The sequence below is a fragment of the Homo sapiens genome, chromosome 3 (genome assembly GCF_000001405.40).
Source record: "Homo sapiens chromosome 3, GRCh38.p14 Primary Assembly".
NCBI classification, from domain to species: Eukaryota; Metazoa; Chordata; class Mammalia; order Primates; family Hominidae; genus Homo; species Homo sapiens.
Window position 1 is genome coordinate 15,286,223 of NC_000003.12, and position 17,172 is coordinate 15,303,394.

Here is a 17,172-nt window from a genome sequence, read left to right on the forward strand (position 1 = left end):
GATGGGAATGGCCTAGTGACAGGGCCAGGGTAGCAGCTCCGCCCCTGCCTGGGGAGGCAGAATCGGCACAAACTGGTGTGGCAGGGGCTCTCCATGTGAGCCCGGGTTCCTGGCAGATCTCATTTCCACCTGGTATTGCCAAGCAAAGCAGGTCTGAGGAACTCAGGGGCCTTCTCCCAGCTCTAAATGGCTGGGAACAAACTTCAGCCAATGGAACTGAGAATGAAAAAGGATAAGATATCCACACAGAGAAATCCAAATGTCTCAGGGTTGAAATGACTACACCTTAAGCCTTTGTAATTCTGTCAATTCCAAACACTCCTTTTTTATTTCTTTTGTTTTTGAGACAAGGTCTCACTCTGTCGCCCAGGCTACAGTGCAGTGGCAGTGGCACAATCACGGCTCAGTGCAGCCTCAACCTCCTGGGCTCCAGAGATCCCACCACCTTAGCCTCCTAGGTAGCTGGGACTACAGGAGCACACCAACATGCCCAGTTAATTTTTTGTATAGATGGGGTTTTGCCACGTTGCCCAGGCTGGTCTTGAACTCCTAGGCTCAAGCGATCCACCCGCCTCAGCTTCCCAAAGTGCTGAGATCACAGGCATGAGCCACCATGCCGGGCTGCAAGCATTCCTCTTTAAAGCAAGTACTCATTTTTCATCTTTACTTTGCACCACGCAACATGAAGATGCGGAAAGGATAAGATGCAATTTCTGCTCTCAAGGAGCTCACGGTTCCAGGGCAGGCTTCTTGACCCATGGTTTAGAGGTTGGGAACACAGATCAAGACTCAGGCTTCTAGACTCATTAGCTGTGTGACCCTGAGTACTTTCTTACTTCTCTGTGCCTCAGTTACCTCACCTGCAAAACACAGATAATAACAGAACGTAGCTCATAGAGTTGCTGCAAGGAATAAGTGAGTTAATACATATAAAGTGCAGAGAAAAGGCACGCAGTAAGCAGTACAGAGTGTCAGCTGTCATATAAGCAAGCATTATGTAGCATTAGCTTGTGGGTATTAACCCACATGACATGCATGATATTTAAAGGGACGCAACATATACCATGAAGTTATAATTTATGCACCCATGCACATGTCTGTTTTCAGAGGATGACAACCATAACGCTCAAGTTCTCAAAGAAGCAGAGCTGACAAAAAGCCGAGGGAGCGGGGCTAAAGGAAGGGTTCATGAAAGTTACATTGACTTGTGCCTTCATTTTAATCCAGCAAAGGGTAAAAGCTAAGCAGTGCTGTCCAACAGAACTTTCTGCAATAATGGAAATGTTCTCTATCTGCACCGTCCCAAAATAGTAGCCAGCCTCCACGTGTGGCTACTGAGCACTTGAAATATGGCCAGCCAGGGTGAATCAATGAATTTTTGGTTTAATTTTAATTAATTTACATTTAAGCAGCTATGTGTGGCTAATGGCTACTATTTTGAACATCACAGAGCTAGTCAGTCTGGGAAGAAAGAAGTCACAGGCAAAGACTGGATTACGCAATGATGCAAAACATTCCCTGATGTAATCAGAAATCATGAGTAGAACACCACGACGTACCCTGCAATTGTGAGTAGTGACGTGCGTGTACACTGAACCACAGCACAGAGAAGTCCAGATGCCGAAAGACAAGAGGGGCCAGGCCAGGCCGTGAAAAGCTTTGTGCGCTGTGGTCAGATTTGGGCTTGACACTGGAGACAGAAGAAATGTTCTGTACTAGCCAGGGTTCTCCAAAGAAACAGAACTGATAGGATGTTTATATAAGCATTTATTATAAGGAACTGGCTCGTGCAATTATGGAGGCTGGCAAGTTCAAAATCTGCAGAGCTCAAAATCTCCAAGTAGGCTGGAGACCCAGGAAAGAACTTACATTGCAGTTCAAGACCAAAGGCCGTCTGCTGCAGAATTCCCTCTTGCTCATGGGAGGTCCCTCTTTTGCTCTATTCAGACCTTTAACTGATTGGATGAGGACCACCCACACTGGGGAGGGCAATCGGCTTTACTCTAAGTCCACTGATTTAAACGTTAATGTCATCCAAAAACACCCTCGCAGTAACAACCAGAATTATATTTGACCACATATCTGGACACTGCAGCCCAGTCAAGCTGACACATAAAATTAACCATCACATGTACTAAAGTTTTTGAGCAAGACTATCAGTAGAACTCACTTTGGTAAGATAATTCAGCCGGGAGGCAGTAGGGAGGGATGGAGGTTTCAGGAGGCAGGAAGACCGGTTGAAAGGCTATTTCAGGCCGGGGGCGGTGGCTAACGCCTGTAATCCCAACACTTTGGGAGGCTGAAGTGAGTGGATCGCTTCAGCTCCGGAGTTCAAGACCAGCCTGTGGAACATGGTGAAAACCCGTCTCTACTAAAAATACAAAATTAGCCAGACATGGTGGTATGCACCTGTAAGGTGAGGTGGGAGGACTGTTTGAGTCTGGGAGGCAGAGGTTGCAGTGAGCCGGGATTGCACCACTGCACTCCAGCCTGGGTGACAGAATGAGAGACCCTGTCTCAAAAACAAAACAAACAAACAAAAAAAGGCTATTTCAATGCTCTGGGTAAGACATGAGGGATTGCACCAAAAAAGTGACAATGAGAAATGACTCATTTAGTATTTGTTAAAGTATGAATGAATGGATTCTGTGACTTTACAAAACACTCACTTTATGAGAAGCTAGCATTTCCTCACAAATCTCCAACACAATGTAGAATGGGAAAGGAGGTTTTCCATACAACATAAAGGGAGGGAAGTGATGTAGCAGAGAGATACAGGTAGTTACCATAGATACGGAGATACAGGTAGATACAGAGATACAGGCAGTTACTATATTTCCATGCTCAAAAGAGTCTTATGCCTGCTCTGTGGGTAACTTAAGCCCACCTTTAACTCCTTCTAACTCACAGCCTTTCTAGAAGATAAACTATAGTACCAACGTGGCAGTCTGTTAGCTGCTCCCAATATCCATTCCCCGCTTCATCCTTAAAACAACCTTGCCTGGCTAGCTAAAAGACTCCAAGTCAAGCCTCCCTTGCAGCTACCTGTGACTACCTGACCAAGTTCTAGCAATGAATGGAAAATGTGTTGTCTGGGACTCCCAAGTAGACTCTTTAAAATAGAAGGGACATATATCCCTTCCTCATTTCCTCCTTCTGTCCTGAAATGCAGATGTGATGGCTGGAGTTCCTGGAGCCATCTTCAACCACAAGGTGACGTGGAAGATTGGACTCAAATATTAGGATGTGAGCAGCAAACAGAACACTCGGTTTCAGTGACCATGAAATCACAGCACTAATTCCGGACTGCCTAATTTAGGTCCTCTGTTAGTTGAGAGACGGAATCCTTGTGTGTTTAGGCCATATTTTTGAGTTCTGTTGCTTACGATCAAACATAATTCCTAACTGATAGATGATACAGCTATTATTTTGTGCACAAACAATGTAGATTTCAAAATTTCAGGCCACATACCTTCACCCATATATTTTCCTATGGCCTTGGGTGTTGATATGGGGCTAGGCAGAAGAGGAGCCTACATAAACTAATACGGCATCTTACACCTCATGATTTCCTTCCAACAGCTGCTCTCAATAAAGGGCCCACTGTAGATACCTTCTACCACCTTGGATGAGTGCCCAGGTCAGTGTGAAAACAGACACCCCCCCTTCTCTACATAAGGAGAACCTTCACTAAGCTGGCCTTACCCTGAGATCAAGAGACTTAAAGAATGCAAAAACCTCAGAAGATTTTGATATGCCACTGCTTTTAGAAATAACACCAAGCACTTTCTCTGGGGTGTGGTGCTTTGACAAAGGGCTGGGGCATACACTTGGGGCTGACAGTGAATTGATGAGCACAGGGCATCTTTTTTTACTTCCATTTAAACCACTTCCTCAGGCCGGGCACGGTGGCTCACACCTGTAATCCCAGCACTTTGGGAGGTCAAGGCAGTTGAGGTCAGGAGTTTGAGACCAGCCTGGCCAACATGACAAAACCCCGTCTCTTCTAAAAATACAAAAATTAGGCTGGGCGCGGTGGCTCACGTCTGTAATCCCAGCACTTTGAGAGGCCAAGGCGGGCAGATCACGAGGTCAGGAGATGGAGACCACCCTGGCTAACAGTGAAATCCCATCTCTACTAAAAATACAAAAAATTAGCTGGGCATGGTGGCTCACGTCTGTAATCCCAGCTACTTGGGAGGCTGAGGCAGGAGAATTGCTTAAACCTGGGAGATGGAGGTTGCAGTGAGCCGAGATTGCGCCACTGCACTACAGCCTGGGCAACAGAGTGAGACTCTGTCCCAAAAAAAAAAAAAAAAAAAAAAAATTAGCCGGGTATGGTGGCACACACTCATAATCCCAGCTACTTGGGAGGCTGAGGCAGGAGAATCACTTGAACCTAGGAGGTGGAGCTTGCAGTGAACTGAGATCGTGCCACTGCGCTCCAGCCTGGGTGACAGAGCAAGACTCCGTCTCAAAAATAAAAATAAACCACTTACCCAAAATGAAACCTACAAAGTGAGGCTTCCTAACCAGAGCCCATCATTGCCTTAACTGAAGCAAACAGGTGCTCCATCCTCCATGAGAAGGTAAACTCCCCCCATGCCCATGAAAGTTTTAAATGGAAGAAACTAATAAATATCAAACTAATAAAGGCCATCGAGAATGGAGAAGGGGAAAGAACTGGTGGGAGGCAGAAACAGGAAGTGGCTGGAGAAGACAGGGGAAGACACAGCTGAGGAACCCACATTCCAGAAGATTCTTCAGAAGAGACCCAGTTGATGTGGCCTCCCATGAAGCCCTTCGGAATTCTACCGGGAGCTGACCAGCTCTCAGCAAAACCAAGCTAGTGAGGGTTGGGGTGGACAGAAAAAAATACTAGACCCAGCTCCTTATCTTAGAAACTCAATTTCGTCCCAGAAACACCAGGCTTGGGAGTAGCTAGAACAGCAGCATGAGCATTCGCATGCTTTTTAGTATCACTCAACTCTCCTGTCTGTGTTCACTTGTGCCCACTCAAGGCTACAGGCTAAGGAATGACAAAGTGGGAGCCAGGGTTCCTCCACAGCTCCACATGCTGTGGATTCAGGAACCCCAAGACAGGGCAGCTGACCCCAAAACTACTTTCTCTCTCTGGCTGATCAACACTACAAATTCCCTTTTGGTAGGGCTGCCAGATTTAGCAAATAAAAATATAGGCCTTCCAGTTAAATCTGAATTTCAGGTAAACAATTTTTTTAGCTTATGTACCAAATATGGCATAGAACAAATTTATACCTAAAAAAAAAAATCTGAAATTTAACTGGGTGTTCTGTATTCCCATGTTCTATCCGCCAATCTTACTTCTGGCTTAAACTCCACAAGGACATCCCACTGGGTAGAAATGAAAAGTCTACCTACAGCCTGCACTTCTAAGCATTTCCCACTTAGTGTAAAGGGTGTAGTTCTGTCTCTCACATGTGCAGAGGTTCCCACAGCATGATGAACCCTGAGTTGGGAATATGCAGTCCCACCAGGTTGGAAGCAGGGTATTCCAAGCTATGGGAATGTTTGTAAGTCAGAACCACTTGAAGCCCCAGAGACCATAAATCTCTAAGTCTTATCAGTCATTTACTTCTCAGCATGAATAATTTCATCAGATTCTTCAGGGTAGATTTTCATAGAAGTCACAACTGGAAGGGCTGGGGAAGAAGTAGAAAAGAAAGGAAGGAAAGCAGGGGCATCCTCTGAGTCAGGAAAGGAACAGAAGGTGCACCAAGAGTGCACAGCCGGGGCCCAAACCTCGTCACCAGGCAACATAAAAAGGCCAGCCTGTGTCGACAAAACTCGTAGCAGAAACACAACCTATGCTCTGATTTCCTTTCACTGAAAAATTAATCACTCTGCCACTCTTGCCAGGGAATGCCTGTGGTTTACAGAGGGGAAGGGGCTATCCATGTCCATGCAATCACTTTACTGAAAGCAGAGTACAGTTGAGAAGAAGGAAGGAAACATCTGAAGAGCATCATGGTTTCAGGGAACCAAACTCCACACCCTGTTTCCCCTCTAACCACTATGCTGTGGTGACAAACCACACCTGTTAGCTTCACAGAGAACACTGCCTGCCCAGCAGCACCAAGGGGGGCTCAGCCATGCCTCTGTGAATAGCAAAGGAGATAAGAAAAAGGGAGTTGCCCATGACAAACCTCCCAACTAACAAGGTGATGGAGGGCAGCTCCTCCAGCCCAGTGCTTCCTGGCTAAGACCTGCCTGCAACCAGTCCCCCACGCGGACTTCCTGCCACCTGCCAGACAGAATGGGGTTGAATGCAAATGGTTCATGGCATCACCAGAAAAGAAAACCTAAGCCAGGCGCGGTGGCTCATGCCTGTAATCCCAGCACTTTGGGAGGCCAAGGTGGGTGGATCACCTGAGGTCAAGAGTTTGAGACCAGCCTGACCAACATGGAGAAACCCCATCTCTACTAAAAATACAAAATTAGCTGGGCGTGGTGGCGCATGCCTGTAATCGCAGCTACTCGGGAGGCTGAAGCAGGAGAATTGCTTGAATCCGGGAGGCGGAGGTTGTGGTGAGCCGAGATCACACCATTGCACCCCAGCCTGGGCAACAAAAGCGAAATTCCATCTAAAAAGAAAAAAGAAAAGAAAACCTCAAGATCAGCAACACTCTCCCTGCTCCAGCCCCAGACGCCCGAGGCAGAGCCAGCCAAGCAGGAGGTGCAACCCTTCTGGCAGAAGCCCAAAAATCTACTTGTGTGTGTCAGGAGCCTTTGACCTGGGTCAAAAGCTGCAACACATCTCCTTCCTGACCCCATCCTAATTCAAGATTCCAAGTTTCCAAAGTGCAGCTGCTTCTTTCCCAGAATCTTCAGCCAAGACTGTCAGGCAGGATGTGATCTTTCAGGCGAAGGAGAGTTAAGAGTCCATGCTCAGTTCTTGCCATAAATCTCCAGGAACTCTGCTTTGAGACAGATGCCCTGTCATTCCACTACGTGCCCTTACTTTGGGCAGCAGGAATGACGCAGTTCCCAGGAACTGGCCTGTGGCCACCCAGGGGGAATGTGACCAGGGCCACAGGGAAGAACGTCACTGAGCCAGACCTCCTCACCCAAAGTCCCGTGGCAAGAACTGCCCCCAGGCAGGCAAGTGGCTCTGCAGAGATAAAGTGACGGGGAAGAAGGAAGGCATGACAAAGCCACACTGAAGTCCTAGCAGGAACAGGGCACCATGAGGGGAAAGTTCCCAAGGACTCCAGATTCTTGGAACAAGAGCTTCTCGGAACAAGAGCTTCTCAGTTACCCTAGCCAAGAAGAGGCAGGGGTGTGCAGGGAAATAACTGCACCAATGAGCTCAAAAACTGCCTTTAGTCCTAAAAGCCCATTCTCCTCAGATGTGCCAGAGTGTCTTTCAGATTTGCAAATAGTCATAAATGCCTCCTATGTGCCAGGCACCAGCCAGAACCAGGTAGACTTGGTTTAAACCTTCACTCCTGTCCTCGCAAGGTCTGTGATGTTAAAGTCCCCAAGCCTCAGTGATTATTCCCCCTCAGTATGATGAAAATAATATCGTCTTGCAGGCCGGACGCAGTGGCTCACACCTGTAATCCCAGCACTTTGGGAGGCCGAGGCAGGCGGATCATCTGAGGTCAGGAGTTAGAGACCAGCCTGGCCAACATGACGAAATCCTGTCTCTACTAAAAATACAAAAATTAGCCTGGTGTGGTGGTGTGCACCTGTAGTCTCAGCTACTCGGGAGGCTGAGACAGAAGAATCGCTTCAACCTGGGAGGCAGAGGTTGCAGTGAGCCGAGATTACGCCACTGCACTCCAGCCTGGGCGATAGAGCAAGTCTCCATCTCAAAAAAAAAAAAAAAAAAGAAAAGAAACAAGAAAAAGAAAAGAGTACCACTTTGCAAAAAGTACTCGCTGTAAGGATTAAATGAGATAATGTACATAAAAGACCTATGACCACAAACCCAGGCCCCTAGCACAGCCTCAACAAATCAGGGCTGCAGATAGCCCCTTAAGAGAACACAGACTCTAAGCCCCAGTTTCTTCTTCTGCAAAAGTAAGTGTGTGTGTGTGTGTGTGTGTGTGTGTGTGTGTGTGTGTGCGCGCGCATGTTTACGTAACTCCCCCTCATGCATGTAAAACACTTAGAAAGTGCCTGGTATACAAAGAGTGTTGAAATTACTCTTCTTCCTCCTCCCTTCCATCCTCCTTTCTTCCTCCCTTCCATCCAGTAAACTGTCACCGCCATACCACTGACTCCCATTTTCCCTGCATTCTGGATAGATAATTAACCAAGTCTGTTACAGTCTCCCTTCACATTCTCTTAGATTAGGCCACAACACCGGAAAGGTTTATGTAAAGGCCCAGTCTTTGGGCTCCAAGACTAGTTTCCTCATTCGTACTATAAGGCCAAAAGGGAAACAATGACAGCCCCCGCACAGAGCAGTGTGTGTGGCACCTAATACATCATTAGCGCTCAAAAAATGGCAAAAAATGGAGCTGCCATTAATGTAAGGACATCAATTTCTCAAACACAACCTAAGCCCCCTAACTCAAGAGCCTACCATGGCTACTTTGCAGCTTCTCAACCAAGTCTGAAGGGTAGGCTGAGGCGTAAGGCACCCTCAGCTGTCCATGCTGTTCCTTTCCTGACTGGTCCTTTAGCTCCCCTAAGCCTCTCTTTCCAAGGCTCTGGCTTCCTTACCCAAGTTCATATCTGCACTGACCCCTCCCCTCAGATCTCTGCTCTTCTGTCTTTACCAGCCACCCTTCCTCTTGTGCTTCGGAGTGTGCACAGTGTGTCCTTCCCCTCAAGCCTTTCCCCTCAAGCCTTCCTGATGGGCAGCATCTCCCGCCAACACACACACACACAGTGACACACTCCCTAGCTTCTTCCCTTTGCCATCTACATCAGAGCCACATGGTTCAGCGCACTAACAAATAAGCCTCTCCATGTGGCTCTTGGCAAATACAGTCAGTCCTCATTATTCACAGCTTCCGTATTTGTGAATTTGCCTACTTACTAAGCTTTATTTGTAACCCCAAAATCAACACTTGCAGTGTTCTTGGGGCCATCCATCGACATGCACAGAGTGGTGAAAAAATGAGCTACCTGATACATACGTTTCTAGCTGATGTCCAACAAGAAGCCACCCTGCCTTCTTGTTTTGGCTCTCATACTGTACACAAGTGTCCTTTCCTCGGTCCTTTTAGTGCTGTGTTTTTGACATTTTTGTGCTTTTTGTTGATGATTTTTCTCTATAAATTGGCCTCCAAGTATAGCAATTAAGTGCTTTCTAGTGCTCCTAAGTACAAGAAGGCTGTGATGCGCCTTATGGAGAAAATGCTTGCGTTAGATGAGCTTCGTTCAGGCAGAAGTTATACCACTGTTGGCTGTGAGTTCAGTGTTAATGAGTCAACAAAACGACACATGCAGAAAAAGGAAGAGGAAATTTGCCAATCTGAACATGAGTTCACTCAAGTAAGTGCTAAAGTAACATCCGCTGTGCATGACGAAGCTATGGAAAAGATGAAAACATGGCTGGATTTGTGGATTATCTGGCACTAAGCCTGAGAGGTCATGACAGATTAAAAAAGCAGAGTGGACAGCATCATCATGAGGCTAAGAGCCAAAGAAGTTTATAGTCACATCACCCAGAGTCAGGAGAACATTCAACCCTTTGCAGCTAGTGTTTTATTATCAAGAAATATTGCATATAATTGATTGTAAGAAACACACTAAATAAGGGGTCTTTAAACAGAAACACACATATAACAAGGTTATGTATTGATCAGCTGACAAAAATGTTGTGACCAGAGGCTCTCAGGAACCTAACCTCTATTTCCCCTAGGAGCAAAGCCTTGGTACTTGCTAATTCAGTGTCTGTGGCAACTTTATAGAATATGACTACCACAGATAATGAGAACTGATTGTATTTACCTCTGCCATAACACCACCTTCAAGAAGATGGGGCTCCTGGAGGATACAGACCAACTGTATACTCCACAGTGGCCACTGCAGACAAAGGGGAGATGCTTTTCTTTGCCAATCCCCTGACCTGCTATAATCCTCCCACAGTCTCACTCCATACCTCAAATGGGGAAATCATATACACACACACACACACACACACACACACCCCTATCCAGGTCAGTAACAAAGATTCTACTTTTGCTCAAAACAGCCCATCCCACACCCTTTTATAAGACTGCCATGAGGGGAATGTCAGCTCCACAAGGACAGGATCTCTGTTCTATGTTTGATAGGTCAACAAGTGGCTAGAACAATACCTGGCATATGGTAGGTGCTCAGTCAATAGCTACCGAAGAAAAGAAAATAATAAATTTTTTTAAATCCCCACACAGACATGTAAAGTAATAACCTACATTTGACATATCCTTGAGTTTATATCCTACCTTTGCAGAACATCAGCCTCTCATCCTCCACTTACGAAGTGTTTTTCCTTTTTTTTTTTTTTTTTGAGACAGGGTCTCACTCTTTCACCCAGACTAGAGCGCAGTGGTGCGATCACAGCTCCACGCAGCCTTGACTTCTCAGGCTCACGCAATCCTTCTACCTCAGCCTCCTAAGTAGCTAGGACCATAAGCAAGCACCACCATGTCTGGCTTCTTAAAAAAAAAAAAAAAAAAGAAATGGTGTCTCACCATGTTGCCCAGGGTGGTATTGAACTCCTGGGCTCAAGCAATCCTCCCACCTCAATCTCCCAAAATGCCAGGATTAGAGGCATGAGCCACCACTCCTGGCCATGGCAGGCTTTCTACAAACAAAATCAATGCCTAGAATTTCCCAACAAAGGATCACTATAATACTCTGTTCCTCTAGGATTAACATAATAGTTCAGGAGATTAATTGATATGCTCGACCCATTTCATTTCATTCAAAACACGATTCTCCATCCATTCAAGGCCCATGCCACACTATCCCTTTGGGCACAGAGTGCTTTTGATCAGTCAAAAGGTAAGTCAGCTACTCCCTCCCTCATCATTTTCGATCCTCCAGCACATTCTGCCCTCACAAATAACTCACTATGTACTCAACCTACCTGGGCTCACTCTTCCACCTGGCACAATCTCTCTATCTTCCATAGCCCCCTCCCAGCCAGGAGAGGCCTGTTTCCTCTTCTACCCACAGGTTCTTTGTGGTGGTGATCTTTTTTTTATTACAAGGCAGCAGATTCACCAGATACTCAACATTTGATAGAAAAATACATCTAGGATAATCTTACATTTATTGGATCCAAATGCTTTACATGTACTAATTCAATCGCTGTAGTAAATTGCAAAAGTAGCTAGAATAAGTTGCAGGTAGACTTTATCGTTCCCAATTCTTGAATTTGGACTGGCCCCATGACTGACTTTAGCCCGTAAGATGTTAATAAACATGAAACAAGCAGAGGCTTGAAAAGGGCTCACCCTTTTTGTTGCTGGAATCTCAACACTGTATGAAAATGACCAGGCTAGCCTGGTGAATGAAAGATACACGTGGCCTAGTCACCCCTGCTACCCTAGCTGACCACCAACCAACTGCTTGACAGATAAGGCCAAGGTCAGCCAGCCCCCAGCTAATCCATCAACTGACTGTATATGTGAGAGATCAGCTCTAAGCCTGAGATCAGAAAAACTGGCCAACAAAACCATGAGCTAAATAAATGTTTTAAGCCATTAAGTTTTAGGGTGGTTGGCTTCATAGCAAAAGCTAACTGATATACAACTTTTCTTTTTCTTTTTTTTTTTTTTTTTTAAAGAGCCAAGGTCTCACCCTGTCCTCCAGGATGGAATGCAGTAGCACAATCATAACTCACTGCACTCTGGAACTCCTGGGCTCAAGCAATCCTCCTGCCTCTGCCTCCTGAGTAGCTGGGACCACAGGCATGCACCATCATGCCTGGCTACTTTTTGTAGAGACTGGGTCTCACTACATTGCCTAGGCTGGCCTCGAACTCTTGGCTTCAAGCAGTCCTCCCGCCTTGGCCTCCCAAAGTGCTGGGATTACAGGCCTGAGATCCCTCAATTAGCCAACTCCATTTTATGGATGAAAAAAAATGAGGCACAGAGATTAGGTAACCTGCCAAAGGTCCCACAGCTTTTAAGAGGTGAGCCTACAAGTCACTCTACAAGTTTCAAATGTTTTCCCACTCATCTCCTTTCCTAAAGGAGGTTATATGTAAGACATGGCCTTATATAGCCCCACAGACACAAAACAGGCAACTTTCAGCACTAAATAATCCGCACTATTTTGCATTTGTGCTGCCCATCAAGTTTGCAAAGTGCTCTGCTCTCTTCTGACGCATTCCAACCATTCAAAAATAACAAGGGTTGCCCAATGTCCATGGATGAATGGATAAATAAAACGTGGTATATACATTCAGTGAAAGGAAATTCTGACACATGCTATAACATGGATGAATGTTGAGGACATTATGCTAAGTGAAATAAGCCAGTAACGAAATGACAAATATTGTATGATTCCTCAGTACTTATATGAGGTACCTAGGGTAGTCAAATTCATAGAAATAGAAAACAGAAGTGATGGTTGCCTGAGCTTGGGAGAGGGGAGGATTGGGGAGTTAGTGTTGAATGGGTACAGTTTCAGTCTGGGAAGATGCAAGGGTTCTAGAGATGGATGGTGGTAAGAGTTGCACAGCAAGTGAATGTGCATTCACAATGTGAATGCCTTAATGCCATCCTTAAAGAATGGTTAAAATGGGGGAGAGGCAAAAAAGAAAAAAAAGAATGGTAAAAATGGTACATTTTGTGTTGTATGTACCTTACCACAATTTTCTTAAAGAGGAGAAAAAGAAGGGTTGGGACTGATAGTGATAAAATGACAGGTCCAAAGCCACTGTTAGACCAGTCAGCACCCAGGGAGCCAGGTAAGCAAGATACACCCTGCTTTTCAGCGTCATTGATTCACATGGGCTCCGCCCTCATCAGACTGCTCCCCTACCATATGCTGAAGGCCAGATGGACTGGCAGATATGTCAAAGCAGCCTTAAAAACAAGCTTGGGCTCAAGGACAAAAACTCTCAAATCAAAGCCAGTGCCCTGCCCCCAACCTGGCACAGAAAACACACATCATGTTCTACCTCTGCTTGGCAGAAATTGGACTTGGTTTTCAAGATCACAGAACTGGATCTGACTCATTGGCTGAAAAATGAGCTCATATCAGGAAAAATAAAATCGATGCAAATTTTTAATGAACCAATACAATTTCCACCAGCTCAACAATTAGATTTTTTTTTTTTTTTTTTTTTTTTTTTTGAGTCAGGGTCTTGCTCTGTCACCCAGGCTGGAATACAAGAGAGACATCATGGCTCACTGCAGCCTTGAACTTCTGTGCTCAAGCAATCCTCCTGCTTCAGCCTCCTAAGGGCTAGGACCACAGGCACATATCACTACATCCAGCTAATTTTAAATTTTTTTTATTTCATATAGAGACAAGATCTCACCATGTTGCCCAGGCTGAAATTACAAATCTTTGTAAACTCTTCAAAGAAAATCAAGTGTGGGAGGTTTTTCCCTTTTAAGTACCCTCAACTGAGACACTGGATATTCCAGTGGATAGATAGACATGGATATTCCAGACACTGGAATAGACAGACATGGATATTCCAGACATAAAAAACCACCACTATGCTATCTTCTTTTTCTCCAAATGGCATACGTACTTTTATTTCAAAATATTCACAAAGTTAAGAAAAAGTACAGTACAAATAACTTTTTGCTCTCAACCATTTGAGTGAGTACCTGATGCTCCATCACCCCCCCAAATACTTTTTGTAGTTGTTATTTCCTACAAATAAGGACCTTCTCTCACATAATAATAATGTAACCATCAAAAGTGGAAAATGCATTGATACATGACTATCATGTAATTATCATTATTTCTTTTTTTTGAAAAAAATATGGGATATACATCAAATAGTAAGAGAAGGTACTAGGATTATTTTCTTCTGTCTATTTTCTAAATTTTCTACAATAAATTCTAATTTTTTAATGAAGCCGAAACCCAAGCTCATGCTGGGATTCCATTGTCAAACACATTATCTCACTTAAATCCTAAGGCCAACCTCATGAGATAGCCAGGGCTGTTCCCTTGACTGCCAGCATTTCATGAATGAGGATGCAGGGACTCTGGGGACGCAGTGCCTCCTGACTCAAACTAGAAGGAACTGCTATCTGAAGGAGTCTCTCAGGCACCATTTCCCTGCTGTACATAACCAGAGAGCTTTGTAAATATAAAAAGGAAGCGGGGGCGGGGGGACAAGAGGAAGAAAACAGGAAGTCCTACTTGGCAGCATCTGGAAGTGGACATCGCCCCCCTCACCATCAGGAAGGTGAGAGGAACATTCACACACAAACAAGCTCATCCATCTGGCCTGAGCAGCCCACCCTCCACAGAGATGAAATGTGACATCTGTGCCCTGCCTCAGCCTTTGAACATCCTTCCAGTTCCTTCGCTATTGACCAACAAGGTCCCTTGGGGTTGAGGGGTAGGAGTTAGATTAGGAATCTAACCTTTTCTACCCTGCTTCTTCCTGCCCACCTGCAAGAAGGAAGGAGATTACGGGGAGGGCTTGCAGGCATAAAGCCAGGCAGGATGCTCTCAACATTCATCTTGGGAGCTGCCCATTAAGAGTGACTCACTCATCCCCAGGACCTGGGCATCATCTGATTCGACCGATGACTCAGTGCCTTGCCCACAGGACTCAGTAATTGCCCTATTGTCCTCACTAGCCAAGAGAAGGGATGAAGAGATGGAGAGGAGCCACCATCCACTGCTTCCCAACAGACTAGGAGCCTCCCAGCCAGCTCCCTCCTACCTCTTTTCCCAACAAAGAAGATTTGGGGTGCAGAAGAGCAGGGAGTGGTGTGAAATCTGCTCCAGGATGTGTCACAGCCAGCTGGGGACCCAACTGCTAAACGGGATTTGAATGAACTCAACCCAGACGAGGCTGGATTTGCCAGTCATGCCACTCTCCATCTGCTTACCTAGCTACCAGGTGGGAAAGAGGCTGTGAGTAAAGGAGCAACGGAGAGGAAATGCTCATGACTTCAAGGGAGGGCAGGGGAGGAACCTCTGGTCTGTTGGTGGCTCCCCAACATCATTCACTAGTTTGTTCATTTATTGATTTATACAATATTTGAGCACCTTCTGTATGCTGGCATTGCAGATCCAGCAAGGAGCCAAACGAATGAAACTCTCTGCCCTTGCTGAGCTTCACTTACTGTAAACAAGTAAATTATAACAGGTCATATGGGGAGAAGCCCCACAGGGAAAAAGGAAAGCAAGGCATGGGGGCTGGGGCTGGCAGGGATGGTGGGCTGGGAGTTAACCATTTTAAATGTTAGCCTGAGAAGGCCTCATGGATAAAGGGATAGACATTTGAGCAGAAACCTGAAGATGAGGAAATCGGGCTATGAAAATACCAGGACATCGCCAAACAGAGGGACACCACCAAACAGAGGGAAAGGCAAGTCCAAAGACCTGAGGCAGGAGCACGTTTCACATCAGCACAGCCAAGGGAGTGACCTGAATCAGAGGACCAGCCTTGAGAAACCCCAACACAAAGCCCCCTAGAGCCATCTCTGCCCCCAAACCTGAGCTCAGGGACCAGACAAGGAAAACTTCAGGTAGAGAAGCCACTGCCGCGACTCCAGTGGGATGCTTCAACAGACCATCCTTCAATCACTCTGCAGCATGGGCACGTGGGCTGCTTTTAATAGATACGCGTGGGCTAAATGGCATCACAGAACCATAAATCCCAGTGTTAAAGACTTTCAGGAAAGGAGGTTTTCTGAATTCCTCGATATTTATCCAATGTTTAAATTAAATCCTCAGAAGCTTCTCCTCAAACCTAACCTGAACCCTCCATACTTCCGTTTCAGGTCAAGAATGATACAACCTTGGCCTACAGTGGGTAGGACACATCCTCAACTTGGGGGGCATCTCAAAGATTAATCCAACGTGGACACTTTGGAGGGGGAATGCCTCAGGGTGCTGGAATCTGTGGGAATTGGAAAGTGCTTTTTGGAGAAGGGTTTCTTCTCCCGGGAATTCTAGAGGCCTGGGCAGGGCCCAGCTGGAGATGGAAAAAGGGAGTGGCTGCTGCTCAGGGCTTGTGCAGACCAACGAGCAATCAGAACTTTGAAGTATACAGCCCAATGCACCAGGCCAGGGAAGAAAGAAGGGTTTCAGGCAGCCACTCTGTCTAGGAATAAAGGCAACATATCTGGCAAGGTCCAACCAGGAACTTCAGCTCAGGGTTCAGAGCATAAAACCCAAACACACAGGTACGATCTTGGTAGAACTCCCAAAGCAGCAAGGGGCTCCCTTGAAGAGAAATGAGAGGTGCATGGAAATAGGAAAAAGAAGAGGAATGGTTAAGTCCTGGCCCTCATTCTCTATGGGTCTATCTTAATATATTCCTAGATTTCTGGGACTTAATTTCCAAAGGGTCCATCCTACTGATATCTCCCCCACAGTGCACAACACACTGTGCACATACACAGTAGGTGCTCAGAAACTTTGCATTGTTGTTGCTCTCTCATTTTTTCTTTCTTTTTTTTTTTTCTGAGACACATTTGTGCTCTGTCGCCCAGGCTGGAGTGCAGTGGCACGATCTCGGCTCACTGCAACCTCCACCTCCCAGGTTCAAGCGATTCTCATGCCTCTGCCTCCCTAGTGACTGGGATTACAGGCGCCCACCACCATACCCGGCTAATTTTTGTATGTTTAGAAGAGAGGGGTTTCAACATGTTGGCCAGGCTGGTCTCGAACTCCTGACCTCAAGTGATCTGCCCACCAAGTGATCGGCCTCCCAGAGTGCTGGGATTACAGGTGTGAGCCACCATGCCCAGCCTCACTAAACATCTTCTTACAAGTGGACACTTTTGAAGGCAGCATCTTCCATCATGTCATAAACACACCACAGGGACAGCACTGGGTCATTTGCTAGTGAACTACAATTTGGACCAACTGCTTAGATCTTCTTGGGAAATCTGAACTCTCATCTCAAGAGGCATCACAGGGTTGGTGATTCACATTAGCTCTCTAATCGGGAAGCCGAAGCAGGCTGAGGAAGGTGAATAAAGCCCCCAGCCCAGAGCCTGCCACACAGCAGGTACTAGTAACTGTTGAGGG

At 46.0% G+C, this 17,172-nt stretch overlaps 1 protein-coding gene across 7 annotated transcripts in view, besides 1 other annotated feature; it reads right to left on the reverse strand.

Annotated features, from left to right (window-relative positions):
- Positions 1 to 17,172, reverse strand: part of SH3BP5 (SH3 domain binding protein 5) — an 87,028-nt gene that overhangs the window by 31,870 nt on the left and 37,986 nt on the right. The gene's annotated exons all lie outside the window — the stretch shown is intronic.
- Positions 2,115 to 2,290: a silencer, noted in NCBI's record as "fragment chr3:15329844-15330019 (GRCh37/hg19 assembly coordinates)". NCBI's record gives its function as "represses an EF-1alpha promoter that drives an FKBP-Casp9 reporter gene in an ReSE screen in phorbol 12-myristate 13-acetate-treated (for megakaryocytic differentiation) K562 erythroleukemia cells {active_cell/tissue: K562(+PMA)}" and the evidence as "EXISTENCE:reporter gene assay evidence [ECO:0000049][PMID:32094911]".